The sequence below is a fragment of the Homo sapiens genome, chromosome 14, assembly GCF_000001405.40.
Source record: "Homo sapiens chromosome 14, GRCh38.p14 Primary Assembly".
Classification (NCBI taxonomy): Eukaryota; Metazoa; Chordata; class Mammalia; order Primates; family Hominidae; genus Homo; species Homo sapiens.
The window spans coordinates 45,181,010-45,201,097 of NC_000014.9; the positions used below are offsets into that span (position 1 = coordinate 45,181,010).

A 20,088-nucleotide genomic window follows, 5' to 3' on the forward strand; every position below is an offset into this window, starting at 1 on the left:
TGTTTTGTAGCTTGCATTTTTATGCTTTAACTCTTTCAAGTAGAAAGAGAATAAGACACAAAGGGCAGAAAGACTGCAGTAGATTTTAGAGATAAATTCTATTAATGGAACCAGTGACTAATGAAATTACTTTTTGTGTTTTTCTGGCCTCATTTCAGTTAATTTATAAAATTGAACTTCATTCAAATATGTGTTTATTAGCAAAAGATATTGTCTTATTTTCTTCACTGGCATTTTAATTTTTTTGTCTCTTGTTTAGATTTTTTGTTCAGAGTTCTCCAAGACTATCTTTTTTTGAAAGTGAATAAATGTTGAGATTGCGTGAAATAATTCTTAATGTAGCCATCAATAAAATAGATTGTTATGATTGGGTAAACCTAAATCTATTAACCATTCATTATTTTAAAAAATAAATTATAGATGGACAATTATTAACAAGTAACGAAAGTGAAGATGACGAGATTTTCCGAAGAAAAGTTAAAAGAGCAAAAGGAAATGTTTTAAACTCTCCTGAGGTGAGTCATTCAGTAATCACAATAGTATAATCATATCAAAGGCTATTTTCCTTTTATACCTTGGGCTTCTGCTGAGACTTTTGTTGCCTTTTACTTTATTTACTTACTTTAGGATCAGAAAAATAGTGAAGTTGATTCTCCACTTCATGCTGTCAAAAAGCGCAGATTTCCTATAAACAGAGTAAGTAAATACCAGGTAATGTATAGTAATCCAAATTCCTTTGGAATAAAAATTTTGAGAGAAATATATGTGTAGATAAATATAGGTATTTTTAATCCTTAGTAGAAAAGTTGATATTCTATTGTATGTGATTGGAATTTCTAGCTTCTGTTAGTTTTCAAAGATGTATTCACTGTAAACTTTCCTAAGCACAATAAATAAAAATATTAAGTAATTTTAGACTCTTTAAAAACCATCCTATTTTTGTCAGTACACTTGAGCAATTCGGCAAGCATTCATTAAATACCTCCTATGTGTCTACTGTGTAAGATGCTGGAGATACTCTCAAGAATATATCCTAAAACTGTCATAAGTTACTCAATAGGAGAGACAGAGAAGTAAACAGATAATTTCAGTATAATTTTTAAAGTTGAGTGATAAGAAAAGTTAAGCCCTTAACCTCGATCTCGGGAGTTCTGGCAAGCTTCTTGAAGGTCATACCTTAGTTAAACCTTAAACTGTATTTGGCAGTGAGGCCAAAGAAGGGAGAAGAGAAGGCATTGTTTACAGAATAACAGCCTAAAGGAAGACCCAAAAGTGAGAAACGGCATCTCTATGTTATTAGATTGTAAAAACAAAAGAGTTTCAAGAAGTAAAATTGGAGAAAAATCAAGGTCAAGGGTTAGAATTGCTTATTCTTTTCATTTGATTACTGAATGAGTTTGAAAGAAGGAAAGGAAGGAGTCCAGGATGACTCTGGTTTTTGGCTTGAGCTGTTTGGCAAGTGTGTCACGGATTTAGGCTAAACAAGAAAGAGATGGTAAGTGTTGAACAGGTTTGAGTTTGAAGTTTCTGTGGGATAGTAAAGTCACAGCGTCTGGCAGGCATTGATGACTGTGAATCTCAAGTTTGATAGATGGACAGGTCTTAAGGTTAATGATACTCACCAGTTTATAGCTGATAGCTAAATTTTGAGACTAGCAAATCTTGTCTGTTTTAATTCTCGAATACAGTCTAGGATAATTTGTGTAAAATTACAGGTGCTTCTCAACTTACAATAGAGTTGGATCCTGATACGCACATCATAAATGGAAAACATTGTATGTTGAAAATGCATTTAATACACCTAATCTACTGAATATCACAGCTTAGCCTAGCCTACCTTAAACGTGTTCAAAACACTTATATTTGGTCAAAATCATCTAACACAAAGCTTATTTTATAATAAAATGTTGAATATCTCATGTAATTTATTAATAATACTGTACTGAAAGTGAAGAACAGAATGTTTGTATGGGCACTTGAAATTTGGTTTCTACTGCATGCATATCACTTTTGCACTATGGAGAGGTCGAAAAATCATTAAGTTGAACCATCGTAAGTTGGGGACCATATGTAATTAAAAATACAGCCAGTCCGTATTAACATTGTGTACTCATATAAGACTTCATTAGAAAAACAACTTGCTACCTTAACTAGAACATCTGATTGACTTATCAGAAATGATTTAAAATATTGATAATGCTGATGATCAATTTGTTTTAAACTAAATTTATTCCTGTTAATTGAAATGATTTTGATAAACTTTTGATTCTTTTGACTGGTTTTGTGTTATCCTATAAGAGATATGGTGATAGGCCTCATAGTCAAAACTTGTTATTGTTTTATTTGTTTCTTAGTTTCAAATGATTCCTATATTTGGACTGATTTTGATGGCCAAATTTATAGGCTTGTTCTTTGTGAAGCCCTTGAAGATCTTCTGAAGGAAATACTGTTAAACTAAAAGTATCAGTTTTCTAAGTCACCATAGTGTTTGCAGAAAAAATAAAAATAAAAACTAAAAGTATGTTTTCATCAAACATATTCGATGTAATACTATATTGGATGAATACCTATACTAGTATTACTTATAACCTAATTTAGTATTTTAGCATTTAATATTACCTAAGTTATTTACTTTTACATTCTTAAGTATTTATAACATTAATATTATGTATTTATAACATGGCTCTGAGTTGTAAGAGCAATTTTACTTGTCTAGGAAGAAAATATTTTTTTCTTATGCAAGAATTTTGTCGAATTATTATAGTCAGAATTATCATCTAGTGATGAGAGTGAGAATTTTCCCAAACCATGTTCACAATTAGAAGACTTCAAGGTTTGTAACGGGAATGCCAGAAGAGGCATCAAAGTCCCAAAGAGACAGAGTCACTTAAAGGTAATCTTTTTTTTAGTTTCTTTAAATATGTATGCATTTTATCAGTAAAGATAATTGGTTTTACATCAATGTAGATTTCTCTATACATTCTCTTTATAGAAAAAAATTAAGTATTTTGACACCCATTTAGATTTTTTTTACTGGAATTAAATTCAAAGTAGTTTTTTTTTGTTTATCTTTGTGTTTTGATGCTTTATCTTGCAGTGTTGTGTTACTTTGAATGAATACCAAAAAACTCAAGTGTATTGAGAATTTATGTTTCAAATTGAAGAAAATATAGAATTAGAAATTTGAGTTTTAAGATGTTTGCTTTTATGATCATTATATTGTTTTTCTTATTTGTATCCAATTTTCAAATACTTGGAAAATGTTCTCAGTACCTTTCCTTTCTGATTAAGTTCTTTTGTGGTGCAGTAATTTTCTTGAAAGAGCTGGAAAGACTCAGGAAATTTTATGCTTATTAAGAAACATCAAGCAGGCTGGGCGCGGTGGCTCACGCCTGTAATCCCAGCACTTTGGGAGGCTGAGCCAGGTGGATCACCTGAGATCAGGAGTTTGAGACCAGCCTGGCCAACATGGTGAAACCCTGTCTCTACTAAAAATACAAAAATTAGCTGGGCGTGATGGCACATGCCTGTAATCCCAGCTACTCGGGAGGCTGAGGCAGGAAAATCTCTTGAACCAGGAAGCGGAGGTTGCAGTGAGCCAAGATTGCGCCACTGCACTCCCGCCTGGGCAACAAAGTGAGACTCTGTCTCAAAAAAAAAAAAAAAAAAAGATCAAGCAAATATACCAACTTTTACTTTATTTTATGACAGAATTATCAGAATTTTTAAATAGATAGGTAACTTTATCATTTCTTCTTGGGATTTTCTTTTTTTTTTTTTTAGACAGAGTTTCGCTGTTACTGCCACAGACTGGAGTGCAGTGGCACCATCTCAGCTCACTGCAACCTTCACCTCCCAGGTTCAAGTGATTCTCCTGCCTCAGCTTCCCGAGTAGCTGGGATTACAGGCATGCGCCACCACACCCTGCCAATTTTTTTTTTTTTTTGTATTTTGTAAAGATGGGGTTTCACCATGTTAGTCAGGCTGGCCTTGAACTCCTGACCTCAGGTGATCCACCTGCTTCGGCCTCCCATAGTGCTGGGATTACAGACATGCATCACTGCACTGGGCCTAGAAATTTTGTTTTTATTATTTTATTAATCTTAAAAGCATTGATAAGAAATCAGTTTTCCAGAATTATTTCCAATCATGAAAGAAAATTATTTTCTCACTGATATCTTCATGTTTTCTAATTTGTCTTACTTAGCATGTAGCTAGGAAGTTTTTAGATGATGAAGCAGAACTTTCTGAAGAAGATGCAGAATATGTTTCATCAGATGAAAATGATGAGTCAGAAAATGAACAAGATTCCTCATTACTTGACTTTTTAAATGATGAAACTCAACTTTCACAGGCTATAAATGGTAAATGTTATAATGATCCTTAAAATTTTTTTCAATGTTTTTATGTGCTTATATTTAAATATTTTAATCAGTTTTTAATGAAACTAGACCTTAAAGGTAATTAAATGTGGTACGTGCAAAATATTTATTTGGTCATTTTCATTCAAATTCTTTAATACTTGCTTTATTTTAGACTGATTGTTCATAGGCTTCTGCTAATTTGAATATTTCTCTTCAGATTGACCTGGGTTGCTCAAGTGTGAAATGTTCATTTCACAAGTGTTTATTGCCCGCTACATGCCTAGTACTATGTAAGGCATTTAAGAACCATATATGAATGAACAAAATAGACAAAAAATTTCTTCTTATGAAGCCTACATTCAAATGGAAAGAGACAGACAATATATATACTAACTAAATTATTTAGTTTATTGTAAGATAAAGAGTTACAGAAAAATAAAAAAGTTGGCCAAGATGAGAAAAATTTGGAGTAACTGGGGTTGAGGGTATAAATAACAGACAAGTTGCCATTTTATTGTATTATTTTTTAGTTTTATTTTTTTAGAGACAGAGTCTTACTCTGTTGCCCAGAGTAGGGTGCAGTGGCGCAGTCATAGTTCACTGCAGCCTTGAACTCCTAGGCTCGGGAGATTCTCCTGCTTTAGCCTCCTATAGGACTACAGGCATGTGCCACCATGACCAGTTAATTTTTTTGGCCTTTTGTAGAGATGTAATCTCACTATGTTGCCCAGGTTGGTCTCCAACTCCAGGCCTCAAGCAATCCTCTCACCTTGGCCTCTCAAAGTACTGGGTCTATAGCTGTGAGCCACTGCACTCTGCCTAGCTGTTATTTTAAATAAGGCAGTTAGGAAGAGGCCTCATTGAGAAGGTGACATCATCAGAGACTAGAAGAAGAGAGATTTAGTGATGTAGATTGTTAAGACCAACTGCAATACAAAGCTAAATTTATTAAATTTGCCATGTAAGGGCAGTTTACTTTCAGAAAACAGTGTGTTCATCCAATGCTTGAACGGATCTTACATACAATATATTTAGAGGAGATGGTTCAGATTGGCTGTAACAGAAGTGAGAAATATTCTGACTATATCTCTTCAGTATTCTAATCTTTCACAGATCTCATCATTTATTCTGCTTTTGCAGTCTCTGATATTATTTAAAGTGACAAAGTTTCTCAAAGTTCGTGACTTTTAAGAAAAAAGTGTTTAAAAGGCAATGTTCTCAGTACTGTCCTTAATGCTGATATAATTTGTATAATTTGCAGGATAAGGTTTTATGTCCTTGATGTTCATTAACAGAAGTGTTTTGCAGGTTTACAATATAATCCAGTGGAAGAATGTTGATGCAAAGACAACAGCCAGTGCAAAGGCCCCGAGTCAGTAGTGTGCCTGGCCTGTTGAAGGAATAGTGTTGTGACTGGAATGAGGGAAAAGGGAAGGTAGTAGGAAGATCAGAGAACTAGCAGCCAGATCATAATCTGACATAATTTAGTAGAATCTCTCCAGCTTCTGTGTTGAGAATGGCCTATAGGGGAACAGAGGTAGACTGAGACCAGTTAGGAGACTGTTGAGGTCCTCCAATCAAGGAATGCTAGTGGCTTCTACCAAGATAGTAGCACTGAGGAGAGTGAGAAAGATTGGATTCTGGATACATAAAGCTGACAGGATTTTCCAATGGATTAGAAAAAAAGGAGGAGTCAGTAGGCTTGAGCAACAAGAAGGACATATTTGCTGTTATGTTATTGGGAAGGCTGCAGATGAAGCAATTTAGATGGTGATTATAGAGGTTTGAAATTCCATTTTAGACACAGTATGTTTGAACTATGTACAATTTCAAAGCTTTTTTTTTTTTTAAAGTACCTCGAAATTCACATTATCTTTTGTTTTTATGTATCATGTCTCAAGTACCTTTCATTATATTATAACTTTTAAAAATGCTAGCCATAAAAAAAAACCAATGTGTTTCCCAGGTTTTGCTTAACTGAAAATTATGAAATATACTTTTTATTGGCTGTGGGTTTTAATGTTTTTAGTGCATATTTGCTTTTCTGGCTAGATTTCTTATTTTTTTTGAAACTTCTATAAATCTGGTACAGTTTTAAGGTCTTTGTATACCTTTGTTTTGAAAGAAAAGTCACCATTTTAATCCTCATTTTCAGAGAGATAGATAAAGCAGGGAACTTAAGTTGTCCATGATCACTCAACTAGAAAATCTGATTTCAAAGGCTAAACTCCTAACTTTATATTTTTGAATAATTGTTTATAGATATCTTTTAATATTTATTGTCTTTGTGTAAAATATTTGCACAAGGTTTGAATCAAGTAAATTTGAAATAGATTGAAGTTAAATACTTTACTGGTTTTCATTTAAATAATTTTGCTAATTTATCTAAATTCTTATCTTTACACAGATTCTGAAATGAGAGCTATTTACATGAAATCTTTGCGTAGTCCAATGATGAACAATAAGTACAAAATGATTCATAAGACACATAAAAACATAAACATTTTCTCGCAGGTATGAACTATAGAAATATAATGGAGAATTTCTGGATGATGATGTTGAAATATGTTCCTGTTAGTGAAGCCTCCATTTTGTTTCTAAAACTGGGCTGTCAGAGCTATTTGAGATCATTTCTGCCCAAAGTCAGGAAGCTCGACTAAATGGATTCTCAAGATCCCTTTTTGGCCATGTGCGGTGGCTCACGCCTGTAATCCCAGCACTTTGGGAGGCCGATGCTGGTAGATCACCGGAGGTCAGGAGTTCAAGACCAGCCTGGCCAACATGGTGAAACCCCATCTCTGCTAATAATACAAAAATTAGCCAGGCATGGTGGCACATGCCTGTAATCCCAGCTACTTGGGAGGCTGAGGCAGGAGAATTGCTTGAACCCGGGAGGCAGAGGTTGCAATGAGCCAAGATTGCACCATTGCACTCCAGCCTGGGCGACAAGAGCAAAACTCCATCTCAAAAAGTAAAAAAGATTCCTTTTTTGTCCTTGGTTGATCAAAATTCATTTTTTTTCATAAAAATGTTAAATGCTGAAAATTATAGGTTATGTCACTTATGGATAACATTTTCATATTAGTTGTGTTTGTTTATAAATTGCCATGTTCAGCTTGGTAATGTGTACTCTCTGTACTTCCATTGTGCTTATTATATAGCATTTATCATCTATTATTATTGTTTACTTTCTACCTACCTGTTATTAGCCCTTAAATTTCTAGACGGTAAATCATTCTTTTCCTTTATCCTCAAACTCATTTTCCTCCATAAAGAATGTACTTAGTTTATGTTAGTTGAGTAAGTGGCTGAATTAATAAAGTAAATTAAACAAATATTAATGCAGATTTCATGTGCCTAGAAGTATATTTTAAATACCTGTTAATTGTCTGAAATAAATATAAAACATTCTTGTGTTTTTATTGTAGATTCCTGAACAAGATGAAACCTATTTAGAGGATAGTTTTTGTGTTGATGAAGAGGAGTCTTGCAAAGGCCAATCAAGTGAAGAAGAAGTTTGTGTTGATTTTAACTTAATAACTGATGATTGCTTTGCAAATAGTAAAAAGTATAAAACTCGACGTGCAGTAATGCTAAAAGAAATGATGGAACAAAATTGTGCACATTCAAAAAAGAAATTATCCAGAATTATTTTACCAGATGATTCAAGTGAGGAGGAGAACAATGTAAATGATAAAAGAGAATCTAATATTGCGGTTAACCCAAGCACTGTTAAGAAGAACAAACAACAGGACCATTGTTTAAATTCAGTGCCTTCTGGATCTTCTGCGCAGTCCAAGGTGCGTTCTACTCCAAGAGTTAATCCATTAGCAAAGCAGAGCAAACAGACATCGCTGAATTTAAAGGATACAATTTCCGAAGTCTCAGACTTCAAACCTCAGAATCATAATGAAGTCCAGTCTACCACACCACCCTTCACTACTGTTGATTCACAGAAAGACTGTAGAAAATTTCCAGTTCCACAGAAGGTATGGATCAAAGAAAGGAAAAATATCTTTAGATGGTTACCAGAAGTTTTTCTTTTTCTTTCTTGTGTGTGTGTTTTGTATTAAATAACTAGGTCAAAGAAAAATTAACAAAAAAATTTTGCAGAAAATGTCTTCAAACAAGAAAACAATACACAAAATTATATGGGCAATTCACAGGGTGCTTAGGTTTTAATTTTTTAAATATGTTAATGTTTTGTTAACACTATGTAAGGAAACTTGATAATTTTATTAAAAGGTTGTGGGAAAATAGGGCTTTCTGCAAGGCAAAATTAACTGAAATTATGTGTTCAGAGTTAGTTCCCTGGCCAGATGCGGTGGCTCATGCCTGTAATCCCAGCACTCTGGGAGGCCGAGGCAGGTGGATCACTTGAGGTCAGGAGTTCAAGACTAGCCTGGCCAACATGATGAAATCCCGTCTCTACTAAAAACACAAAATCAGCCAGGTGTGGTTGCGTATCCCTGTAGTCCCACCTACTTGGGAGGTTGAGGTAGGAGAATCGCTTAAATCCGGGAGGCAGAGGTTGCAGTCAGCCGAGATCATGCCATTGCACCCCAGCCTGGGTGACAGAGCAAGACTCCATCTCAAAAAAAAAAAAAAAAAGAACTAGAACTAGTTCCCAGGTTAACTTTTCTCCTTCTCAGAAGGCTTTGGGTATGTAAGTCCTTTTTATTGGGTAAAGGAATTTGGGAGTACCAACTGGTTTCCTTCTTAAAGTTTTCTTCCATTTCCTTCCAGAATGGCTGCTAAGTAGTCCAGTTTTACTTTCTCCTATTGTGCTATTTCTAGAAGAATCACTGTAAAACTGTTTCTCGTTTTTAAGGGTTTATAGTTACAGTAATTTTGCTAAATAGGGGTTAAAGAAATAATAATAGGAACTATATATATTGATTCATTATTTGGTTAACTAGGAGTGAGACTGAAAATAGACTTACTAAAAAATACTTTTTAGAATTGACAATTGTATATATTTACCAAGTATAACATGATGTTTTGAAATATGTATACATTGTGGAATGGCTAGATCAAGCTAATTAACATATGTGTTACCTCAAATACTTATTTTTTGGTTGAGAATGAGAACACTTAAAATTTACTCTTTCAGTGATTTTCAAGATAAAATACCTTGTAATTAACTATAGTCTTCTTATCTGAAATTTTGTATAATTTGACCAACACCCTCCGCCCCAACCTTAACCCCCTTACTAACCACTATTCTGCTCTCTGCTTCTACTTCTCTTTATCCCCAAGGTGTTTCATCACACTCTGCCTTAGCCACATGCTTGACAGTGTCCACACAATGGTCCTCATATTTGTGTTTCCCATTGCAAATTGTCCCCATTTTTTTTTTTTTTTGGTCATAGTTATTTCTTGAAGGCATTGTTAGGAAAAGATTGACTACATTAAGTCTTTATAATAGACTGGAGAACAAGAAAGTACTTCATTTCTTTGAGTTTCAATATCCTCATCTATAGTATAGAGATTAAAATCCCAAGATGAGTTCTTATTGTGTTGCTTAGGCTGGATTACAGTGGCTATCCACAGGTGTGATCATAGCTCACTGCTGACTTGAACTCCTGGGCTCATGTGATCCTCCTACCTCAGCCTTCTTAGTAGCTGGGACTATGGACATGCAACACCATGCCTGGCAAGATTATTATTTTTGTATAATTCCTTATAAATGGGGTCTGTTATTTGAGAATCATTGTGTTCCTTTGGAAGTATGGTGTCCTTGCTTTTTCATATATGACGTGTCCTTATGTTGATTTCTACACATCCAGTGGGACATTCATCTCTTCAAGTTTTATGGAGTAATTTCCCAGGGAAAGACTTATTTGTATGAATGTGTCTTAGGGTGTCAATTTGGTAGGGTGTGTTGGCCTTGGTTCTAGGTGGATACAGTAGTGTAGTTTCTTCAGCTGTAATTCACACTAGTGACATTTGCGAGTGTCTCAGTATCCTAGGCTTTTCTCGACAAGGCAGAGTCCCTCCTGACCCTGGGCTAAGCCTATCTAAGCAGTGGAGATGAGGCTACAGAGCCTGGGTGCCTCCACACTGCCCTTCTGGGCTTCTAATCACCATAGTTGCCTATTCACCCCCACACCACACTCCAGTGCTCTTTACTTTGAAAAGAGAAATAAGCACTGGTAAGCACTAACACTTTAAGCAATATTTGTACTTTGGTATGTCCTAACTAAAAAATAGATATAGGATAGTGATACTTTGAAGAGGACTATGAAAAGGGATCAGTAGGGCTTAGTGGAAAAAGTTTTAAGTTTTCTACTGTTATTGAATAAAATTACATATAGTGTGATTCTTATTACTTGAAATTAGGAGGAGAAAGAATTTTTTGAGGTAAATTTGAAAAGACATAAAATAGACTACCCTGACAAAAATCTTCACAGATTAAAAATACTAATATTTGCATTGTCATGTATATTACAAACAGTATTCCTTGTCTTTTGCTTTTTTGTTTTGTGTTTAGTGTTTCTTGCTATATGAAATATAACTTCTTTATGCAGCCTAGACTTTTTTTCTTTGTATTTCCTGACCTTGTTGTCATGTTTAGAAAGCCATACTCTAAGAAAACTAAGTACTTCCACTATTTTCTTCTAGTTCTTTAGGGCCATTTCCTCCTTCATTACATTTATTATTCATTTTTAAAAATTAAATATTAAATATATTTTAGTGATAATTTCTGAATAATTGGGATGTTGATCTTAGTCTAGGATGTTAAAAGATAGAAAGTCCATCTTAAGTTATGATGTAGAAAGGTGGAGGGAGTATTGCTCCCATCCTTACTATAACAAAGAGCCAGTCATCTGCAAAATCATGTTTTCTTGAAACAATTACAGAGCTAAGGTTGTAGGGCAAACAGTTAGGCTGATATTTAAGGAAAAACAGGCCCCTCCAATGAAAAGCTTGCTGATTCATGGCAATCACTGGACACTGTGAAATCTGGTAAAAATAATTCAGCTGACCAGGGGCAGTGGCTTACGCCTATAATCCCAGCACTTTGGGAGGCCGAGGCAGGTGGATCACTTGAGGTCAGGAGTTTGATACCAGCCTGGCCAACACAGTGAAACTCCGTCACTACTAAAAATACAAAAAATTAGCCAGACGTGGTGGCACATGCCTGTAGCCCCAGCTATTCAGGAGGCTGCGCCAGGAGAATTGCTTGAAGCTGGGAGAGAGAGGTTGCAGTGAGCCAAGATTGCGCCACTGCACTCCAGCCTGTGCAACATAGCGAGACTCCATCTCAAAAAAAAAGAAAAACCAAACAAAAGCAACAAAAAAATTAGCCTGGCATGCTGGTGCATACCTGTAGTCCCAGCTACTCAGCATGCTAAGGTGGAAGGATCACCTGACCCTGGGAGGTTGAGGTTGCGGTGAGCTATGATCATGCCACTGCACTTCAGCCTGGGCAACAAAATGAGACTCTGTCTAAAAAAAAAAAATTAAAAAAAAATTTCAGCTAAAACGTTAGTGAATTGCAAAAGGCAGTGGACTAGCATGAAAGTTTAGAACCCCTGGGAGTTGTAGACACAGTGGGGAATTTATAGCCACTCATGGGCTTTTCTTCACACACTCATCAGGCGTTCACAAAAAAGACTGAGAATGAGAAAAATGCTTTTTCCTAGTACAGTCCTTGGGGAAGAGACAAGCAATTACTGTGGAAAAGGAACCATGCCTCACCTTGTTCCTTCCCTGTTTCCCCTATGGAACAAAAAGCTTTAAGCTACTGTGGGAAGAGCAGCAAACTCTATTGCCTTCAGAGCTTAGGTGAAGACCACAGATCAGGAAGGAAACAAGAAAATACCCTCTATAACTGGGAGAAGGGCAGGAAAACATCTTAAGCCTAGACAATTAGAGGTCTGTAATAACTGGGAGGGAGAGTAAGATCACTGAGAAATTCCTACCTTCGAGACCTGGGGACACAAGTCCTGCCCAAGACTATGGCTGAACCAGGACAACAGAAAACACTAATTCCATACTCCTAGTGCTCCCTCCCACCAGGCTAGCAAACACCAGGTAACTAGAGCAATCTGCTGACACAAGTGTGGGAAGAGAACATCTTGCCAAATCCAGTCATGAAGATTTTTCTTTATGTTTCCTTGTAAGAGTTTTATAGTTTTAATTCTTCAGGGTATACCTTTGATTCATTTTGAGCTAACTTTCGTTAATGATATAAAAGTCCAGCTTTTGTTGTTGGTGGTGCATGGCTATCTTGCTTAAAATCAGTTGACCATATATGTGAGGGTTTATTTCTAGGCTCTCAGTTCTTTGGCATATGTCTTTTTCTATGCCAGTACCACACTGTCTTGATTCCTGTAGCTTTATAGAAATTTTGAAGTTGGTAAGTCTGAGTTTTCTAACTTTGTTTTTTTTTTTAACATTGTTTTAGATATTCAGAGTCCCTTGAAATATATGAAATTTAGTATGAGTTTTCCCATTTCTGCAATATATGCTTTTGGAATTTTGAAACAGATTGTGTTGAATCCATAGATTATTTTGGGTAGTATTGTCATCTTAATAATGTTAAATTTCTCAATGCATGAAAATGGGATGTCTTTTTATTTATTTTGTTCATGGTCCAAAATTAAAATCTGCAAAAGAATTTATATTCAACAAATTCCAGGCCAGGCATGGTAGCTCATGCCTGTAATCCCAGCACTTTGGGAGGCCGAGGTGGGTGGATCACCTGAGGCTAGGAGCTCAAGACCAGCCTGGCCAACATGGTGAAACCCCATCTCTACTAAAAATATAAAAATCAGCCAGGTGTCGTGGCAGGTGCCTGTAGTCCCAGCTACTCAGGAGGCTGAGGCAGGAGAATGGCTTGAACCCGGTAGGCAGAGGTTGCAGTGAGCTGAGACTGCACCATTGCACTCCAGCCTGGGTGACAAGAGTGAAACTCCGTCTCAAAAAAAAAAAAACAAAAAAAAACCAAACAAATTCCAGTTTTATTTTTGTGTCCTTCACTGCTTCCTTCCTTGTACAAAGGTAATAATTAAAAATACCTACATACTTCGCTTTGTTTATACATTGCTTGAAATATATAATTAGATACTTTTATATTTTTAATCTTCCTTAGATAAGTAGTAAAATACAATACATACTTTATCCCATCTTGATTTTTTTACTTAAAACTGTATCCTCAGGTTCACTTAATAGTAATATACAGATATATATTCCTCATTACTTTGTGCAGCTGCATACACCATTGTATGATTATGTAATAATTTGTTCAACATTTCCATATTGATGCGTATGTAGGTTGTTTCTAATCTTTCATTCTTATAATAAATAGCCATGTTTGTATCCTCTTAAATGTTGCCGGTGTAACTTTGGGATTAATTTCTTGGAGTTGCTGTAAAAAGTAAATGCATATGTAATGTTGCCAGATATTGCTAACTTCTCTATAGGTTGTGCCTTTTTTTTTTTTTTTTTGAGGCAGAGCCTCGCTCCGTAGCCCAGGCTGGAGTGCAGTGGCGTGATCTCGGCTCACTGCAACTCCGCCTCCCACACCCAGATAATTGTTGTATTTTTAGTAGAGACAGGGTTTCACCACGTTGGCCAGGCTGGTCTCGAACTCCTGACCTCAAGTGATCCACTCGCCTCAGCCACCCAAAGTGCTGGGATTACAGGTGTGAGCCACCGCTGTATCATATTTTTATTACTACCAGCACTGTAAAAGAATTTCTGATTTCTCCAGAACCTCATTAACAGAGAATATTGTAAACCTAGTGAGAGATGGCTTGTCATAGTTTCAAATTTGTGTTTTTCTTTCCATAGCAAAGTTGAAAGCATCTTTTTTCTTTCAGTTTCATACATTCATATAGCTCATAAGAGCCATTTGCATTTCTTTTTGGAGAGGACATTTTATTACTTGCTTAAGGTTTTTGTGGATCACACAGGTATTGTGTATTCTGGCTACAAGCCTACATGAGGGCTGGAGGGCCAGTATGTAGATACCAATTCGAGATCTTACCTCTCTACCAGATATTAAGATTGAGAACTACTTTTTCCTTTCTGTTTTTATGGAGTAGATTTATTTTTTATTTGCGCTTATAATAAACGTTTAACTGTTTTTGGGGACAGAGGTTCGGACATCTAGCACTAATGTTTCCCATGCCCTCTGCCTCTGCAAAAAGAGGAGCTCATGGTCCACAGGATTTGGCAGATTACTTTGGAAAGGAAAGCTGGGTATGTTCTGACTTAAGTAACTTCCAAAATTCTCACTTCCATGTTGTTTTTGACCTCGGTGCATTCCTTACTTTCTGGTCAGACCAGTTATGTATTTCTAAATATTTTTTTACAAACATGTTAGTTTTTTAAAACTGAACAGGTTTAGTTGTTTTCAACTGGAGATACTTTCTGGTTATCTGATCTTCCTATTATTTTTCAAAAATATCTTGTCTGGTTTCCTTATTCTTCATGATGAACTCTAATCTGCTCAAAGGTTATTTCACCTTCCATTCGTTTGTTTTTTTTCTCTAGGCTAAAAATTATAATTTTCTTTTTTAACACATTTCCTTTCCTGTTCATTTTTAGACTTTCTGCTATTTCTTTACATCCTTTTGTTCTTAGCTTTTGTTGTTAATTATAGCTTTAGAATTTTTTGAGGTGTAAGAGTAGTGACTTATGTGTTCCTTCATTTATTGTCACTTTGGTCAAATTGAAGGACGAAAACTGGACATTCTCATTAAGGATAATCAACTTCGGGTGTGAGACGTTTATGGCATTTTTATGCATTTAACCTGAATGTGACCAGTGTTTTCCACTTTTTCAGGATGGTAGTGCTTTGGAGGATTCTAGCACTTCAGGGGCATCCTGTTCCAAGTCAAGACCACATTTAGCTGGGACACATACTTCTCTTAGACTTCCGCAGGAAGGAAAAGGAACCTGTATTCTTGTAGGTGGTCATGAAATCACTTCTGGATTAGAAGTAATTTCTTCCCTAAGAGCAATTCATGGGTTGCAAGTAGAAGTTTGTCCTCTTAATGGCTGTGATTACATCGTGAGTAATCGCATGGTGGTGGAAAGGAGGTCTCAATCTGAGATGTTAAATAGTGTCAATAAGAACAAGTTCATTGAGCAGATCCAGCACCTGCAGAGTATGTTTGAAAGAATATGTGTGATTGTGGAAAAGGACAGAGAAAAAACAGGTTTGTATTTTTAAATATCTTTGTTTATAAGACTGTAAAGGAACTTTACGGTTAACTTAGTTTATTCTTCTATTATTAGGATGTGGGAAACTCTTAAAATATAAACACCTGACTGGTGAATGTCATTTCATATTTTCATACAGCCATAATGGCTTTCATTAGTCATTGTATTTAAATGCAGCTTATGAGAAATGAAGGGTTGGAAACTGAAGGCAAGTCTGCCAAACATAAGACTTTTTCAGGAACCCAGGAAGGATGAGGGCCTTAACTAAGGCAGCAATGGGGAGGAGAAGTAGTATTCGGGAGATGTTTAAGGAGTCAGGATTAGCAAGAGTTGGTGGGAGGAGTTGAGAATTACTGAGTTGACCAACTTCTTGGTTATTGGGCAGTTAAGTAGTGGTACTGTTTATTGCAATTATGAATATAAGGGAAGCAACAGATATAAGGGACAAGGGAAGTTCAATTTTGAACACGTTAAGATCGAGTTCTCAATGGGTCACTGAAGTGGGTACCTAGGATGCATTTGGAAGTGCAGGATTGGAGCTTCAGGTAGAAGATTTCTGCAGTAATTATTTAATTGTATGGCGAGCCCTCAAGAACAGTAAAAAGATCATGAGATATGGAATCAGAAGACACACCAATTACTGGCTTCTCTGTGTGATATTGCATTGACAAATCACTCCCTCTGAGGAACTGATAATACACTTGTTCTACTCATCTTGTGATATTATGAGAACTAAGTAAAAGCATGTAGGTGAAAGCCACTGCGGAAGAATTGAAGAATTATACTTTTGGTAATAGTGTAGTTTATGTAAAACATTGGTGTGGGAGTTGGGCAGCCTTTTCATCCCCATTTTGTCATTGGTGAACCGTGTGGCCTTAGATAAGTCATTTTATCTTTTGGTTACCCAATTTTTTTTTTGTTTTTTTTTTTTGAGACAGAGTCTCGCTCTGTTGCCCAGGCTGGAGTGCAGTGGCATGATCTCGGCTCACTGCAACCTCCACCTCCCGGGTTCAAGCAATTCTCCTGCCTCAGCTTCCTGAGTAGCTGGGATTACAGGCATGTGCCACCATGCCCAGCTAATTTTTGTATTTTTAGTAGAGATGGTGTTTCACCATGTTGGTCAGGCTGGTCTTGAACTCTTGACCTCAGGTGATCTGCCTGCCTCAGCCTTCCAAAGTGCTGGGATTACAGGCATGAGCCACCATGCCCAGCCTTCTTTTTTTTTTTTTTGAAATGGAGTCTTGCTCTGTCGCCCAGGCTGGAGTGCAGTGGCGCAATCTCGGCTCACTGCAACCTCCGCCTCCTGTGTTCAAGTGATTCTCCTGCCTCAGTCTTCTGAGTAGCTGAGACTACAGGTGCGTGCCACCATGCTCAGCTAATTTTTTTTTTATATTTTTTGTAGAGACGAGGTTTCACCATGTTGGCCAGGATGGTCTCGATTTCTTGACCTCGTTATCTTCCTGCCTCAGCCTCCCAAAGTGCTGGGATTACATGTTTGAGCCACCAGCCTTCTTTTTAATTTGAAAAGTCAGGGATAAAGGAAATAGATTTGGAATAGACAGGAAGGTAACATGGCAAAGGTTATAGAAAAGTATCGGGGGCCATAATAGGGAATACCAATAAAAGGATTTAAGTAGAATATGGAATAGAAAATGAACAAGAAAGGGTAGGGAAGTAATTGGCAAGATGATGTTAAAATGGGTGTACAGGGTATTTGTTGAGTTATTCTTTGGAATAAATACCTAAGATAATTTTATATTAAACCAGTACTTAATGCACCCTTCATCAGAGCTAGCATGAAAAACTAGAGATGAGTAATACAGTCTTGGCCTTCAGGAGTGAATTATCTAGGAATATAAGCTCTTCCTTATTCACCTTTCTACGTTGATTCCAGCTCAAGGCGCTCATAGTTACCCCTATTTTCTTTCTCAGATATTTGAGAAACATTAGTTGTAGGGTTTCTCATTAGCAGAATGTGGCACCAGTTTGCTCAATGGTGTAGATCTTGGGATTTTAATAAAATAAAGTATATTAATAATTCTACTTAATATTAGTTACTGAAGTTTGCCTTTCCCTAAATATGAATATTTAGGAGACACATCAAGGATGTTTAGGAGAACAAAGAGCTATGACAGCCTGCTGACTACCTTAATTGGCGCTGGAATCCGAATTCTTTTCAGTTCCTGCCAAGAAGAAACCGCAGATTTGCTAAAGGAACTGTCTTTAGTGGAACAAAGAAAGAATGTTGGTATTCATGTTCCAACAGTGGTGAATAGTAATAAAAGTGAGGCACTCCAGTTTTATTTAAGTATTCCCAATATAAGTTATATAACTGCATTAAATATGTGTCACCAGTTTTCATCTGTGAAAAGGATGGCTAACAGGTATGTCTGTTGTAATATTTTTAAATGATTACTTTTAAAAGATTCGTAAAAGCATTCCATAGAAGTTTAATGTTAAAAAAATTTAAGCGGCATCATGCCTGTTAGATTATTTTATTCAGTAAACATTTTTTGCCTGCCAACATATATTAGTTACTGTATGAAGCTAAGGGACATTATTCGAAAAAAAGAAAAAAGAAAAAATAGGTGTAGGGATTTCCTTTGAGAAGCTTAGAGCTCTGTGGAGAGACAATAAATAGCAGTTTCCTTTGACCTTGCAATCTAACATTTCTGGGCTGTTCAGTTCTGTAACAAGAAAAATGAGTATTTTACTAGTTGTGATCATTATATTGCTTGAAGAGGGAGATTTTAGAATGTAGTTCATTTTAATTAAAGGCCTACATCAGATACTGTCTTAGCTCATGCTGCAATGATAAAATACACAAACAACACAAATTTATTTCTGCCAGTTCTGGATACTGGAAGTCTGAGATCATGGCTGGGTTCTGGAGAGAGCTTTCTACTGAGTCACAGACTACTGCCTTCTCATTGTATCCTCACATGGCAGAAATAGAGCTAGCTAGCTCTTTGACCTCTTCTTAAAAGTGCACAAGGATATCCACCTTTATCAACTAATTCTCAAAGTTGCCACTTCCAAATACCATCACATTGGGATTACGGCTTCAACATATGAATTTTGGGCAACACAAAAACATTCAGTTCATTGAAGATGTTGAAATTGTTATTCTAGATAATTTTAAGGAAAGGAAACAAGTAGCTCTTTTATCCAAACTAATGTTCAAGACATATCAGCTGGGCGGATAATGCTTGAGATGATTTCCTTAAAGGCTACTGTGTTTGGTGTTCTTTAGGTAATATTAAATTTTATAAAAGCCAAAAGTCCTAGTGTAATGATTTTGTCTCATTTATTTTTCAGCTCACTTCAAGAAATCTCCATGTATGCACAAGTAACTCATCAGAAGGCTGAGGAGATCTATAGATATATTCACTATGTATTTGACATACAAATGTTACCAAATGATCTTAACCAAGATAGACTGAAATCTGATATATAATCAAGCTGCTCAAGATGGGGTTTTCAAAGACCTCTCACAATATTAAATGCACTTCAATAATCATTGCTGTTTTATGTTTATTTGTAAATAAGAGAATATTTTATTTAAATATTTTATATTGTATACATTTTTATTTATAGATTATAGAAATTATTAAAAAAGAAAAATCTGATGTTCAGTGATCATTTTGACTAGATTATAAAACTAATTTTTCTTATTAAATAAAACAAGGTTTATTAAAAGTGTTACTAAGGATAGTTTAAGAAAGTAAAAGCTAAGCTAGAGATATACTTTGGAATGTTTCCCAAAATTAAAGTTGTACTGTTGTGATAAATAGTAAAGTTGACATGTCTATGACTACAGCCAACTTGTCGATTTTCCCTATGTGTAGATAGTATACTTTTAAGTGTACTGATTCTAAATACATGTACTTGGTAAGGTGTGGGTGATGGGTGGGTTGTGAGATAAATGACCCAGTAACTAGGAAAGTAGAAAACTTAACTGAATGTTTATCTGACCAAAGGTGTGTCCCAGTTAAGTACTGTCAAATCTATTAATATGAACTCTGATATGGTTTGGCTGTGTCCCCAACCAAAATCTCATCTTGACTTGTAATCTGAATTATAATCCCAATATATTGGGGAGGGACCTCCTGGAACGTGATTAGCTCATGGGGGCGGTTCCCCCATGCTGTTCTAGTGATAGTTCTCAGAGGATCTGATGGTTTTATAAGCTTTTCCTCTGTTCACTCTGCAGTTCTCTTGCCTACTGCCATGTGGAAAAGGAAACGTTTGCTTCCCCTCCACCATGATTGTAAGTTCCCGAGGCCTCCCCAGCCATGCAGGACTGTGAGTCAATTAAACATCTTTTCCTTATAAATTACCCAGTCGGGTTATTTCTTCATAGCAGCGTGAGAATGGACTAATACAAACTCCCAGCTACATTACTCTTTTTTGTTGCTGAAATATATTCAAAATGGTATATTGGTTTGGACTTAGAAAGTTTCTTTTTAATATAAATTACTGAATGCAGGCCCATTATGTTGACCCTATTATATTTACCGTTTTGATCCATTCTGTTGTCTGTGAT

The 20,088-nt window shown here is 36.0% G+C and overlaps 1 protein-coding gene across 10 annotated transcripts in view, besides 1 other annotated feature; it reads left to right on the top strand.

The window, feature by feature from the left end:
* FANCM (FA complementation group M) overlaps positions 1-19,881 on the top strand; it is a 64,961-nt gene extending 45,080 nt beyond the window's left edge. For 4 of the 10 annotated variants that reach the window (XM_011537034.3, XM_011537035.4, XM_047431634.1 and 1 more), the window contains 9 exons: positions 421-515; positions 628-711; positions 2,765-2,893; positions 4,208-4,364; positions 6,772-6,878; positions 7,793-8,353; positions 15,163-15,538; positions 17,635-17,926; positions 18,861-19,881. In XM_011537034.3, the coding sequence (XP_011535336.1) occupies positions 421-515; positions 628-711; positions 2,765-2,893; positions 4,208-4,364; positions 6,772-6,878; positions 7,793-8,353; positions 15,163-15,538; positions 17,635-17,926; positions 18,861-18,999 (1,940 nt within the window). In that variant the 3' untranslated portion in view covers positions 19,000-19,881. Of the gene's footprint in view, positions 1-420; positions 516-627; positions 712-2,764; positions 2,894-4,207; positions 4,365-6,771; positions 6,879-7,792; positions 8,354-15,162; positions 15,539-17,634; positions 17,927-18,860 lie in introns of those variants that run through there. The other 6 variants (NM_020937.4, NM_001308133.2, XM_017021523.2 and 3 more) reach the window with 5 other exon arrangements.
* Positions 17,398-17,917: an enhancer, noted in NCBI's record as "NANOG hESC enhancer chr14:45667610-45668129 (GRCh37/hg19 assembly coordinates)". NCBI's record gives its function as "activates a minimal SCP1, AML or CMV promoter by ChIP-STARR-seq in naive H9 embryonic stem cells {active_cell/tissue: H9 hESC(naive)}" and the evidence as "EXISTENCE:reporter gene assay evidence [ECO:0000049][PMID:30033119]".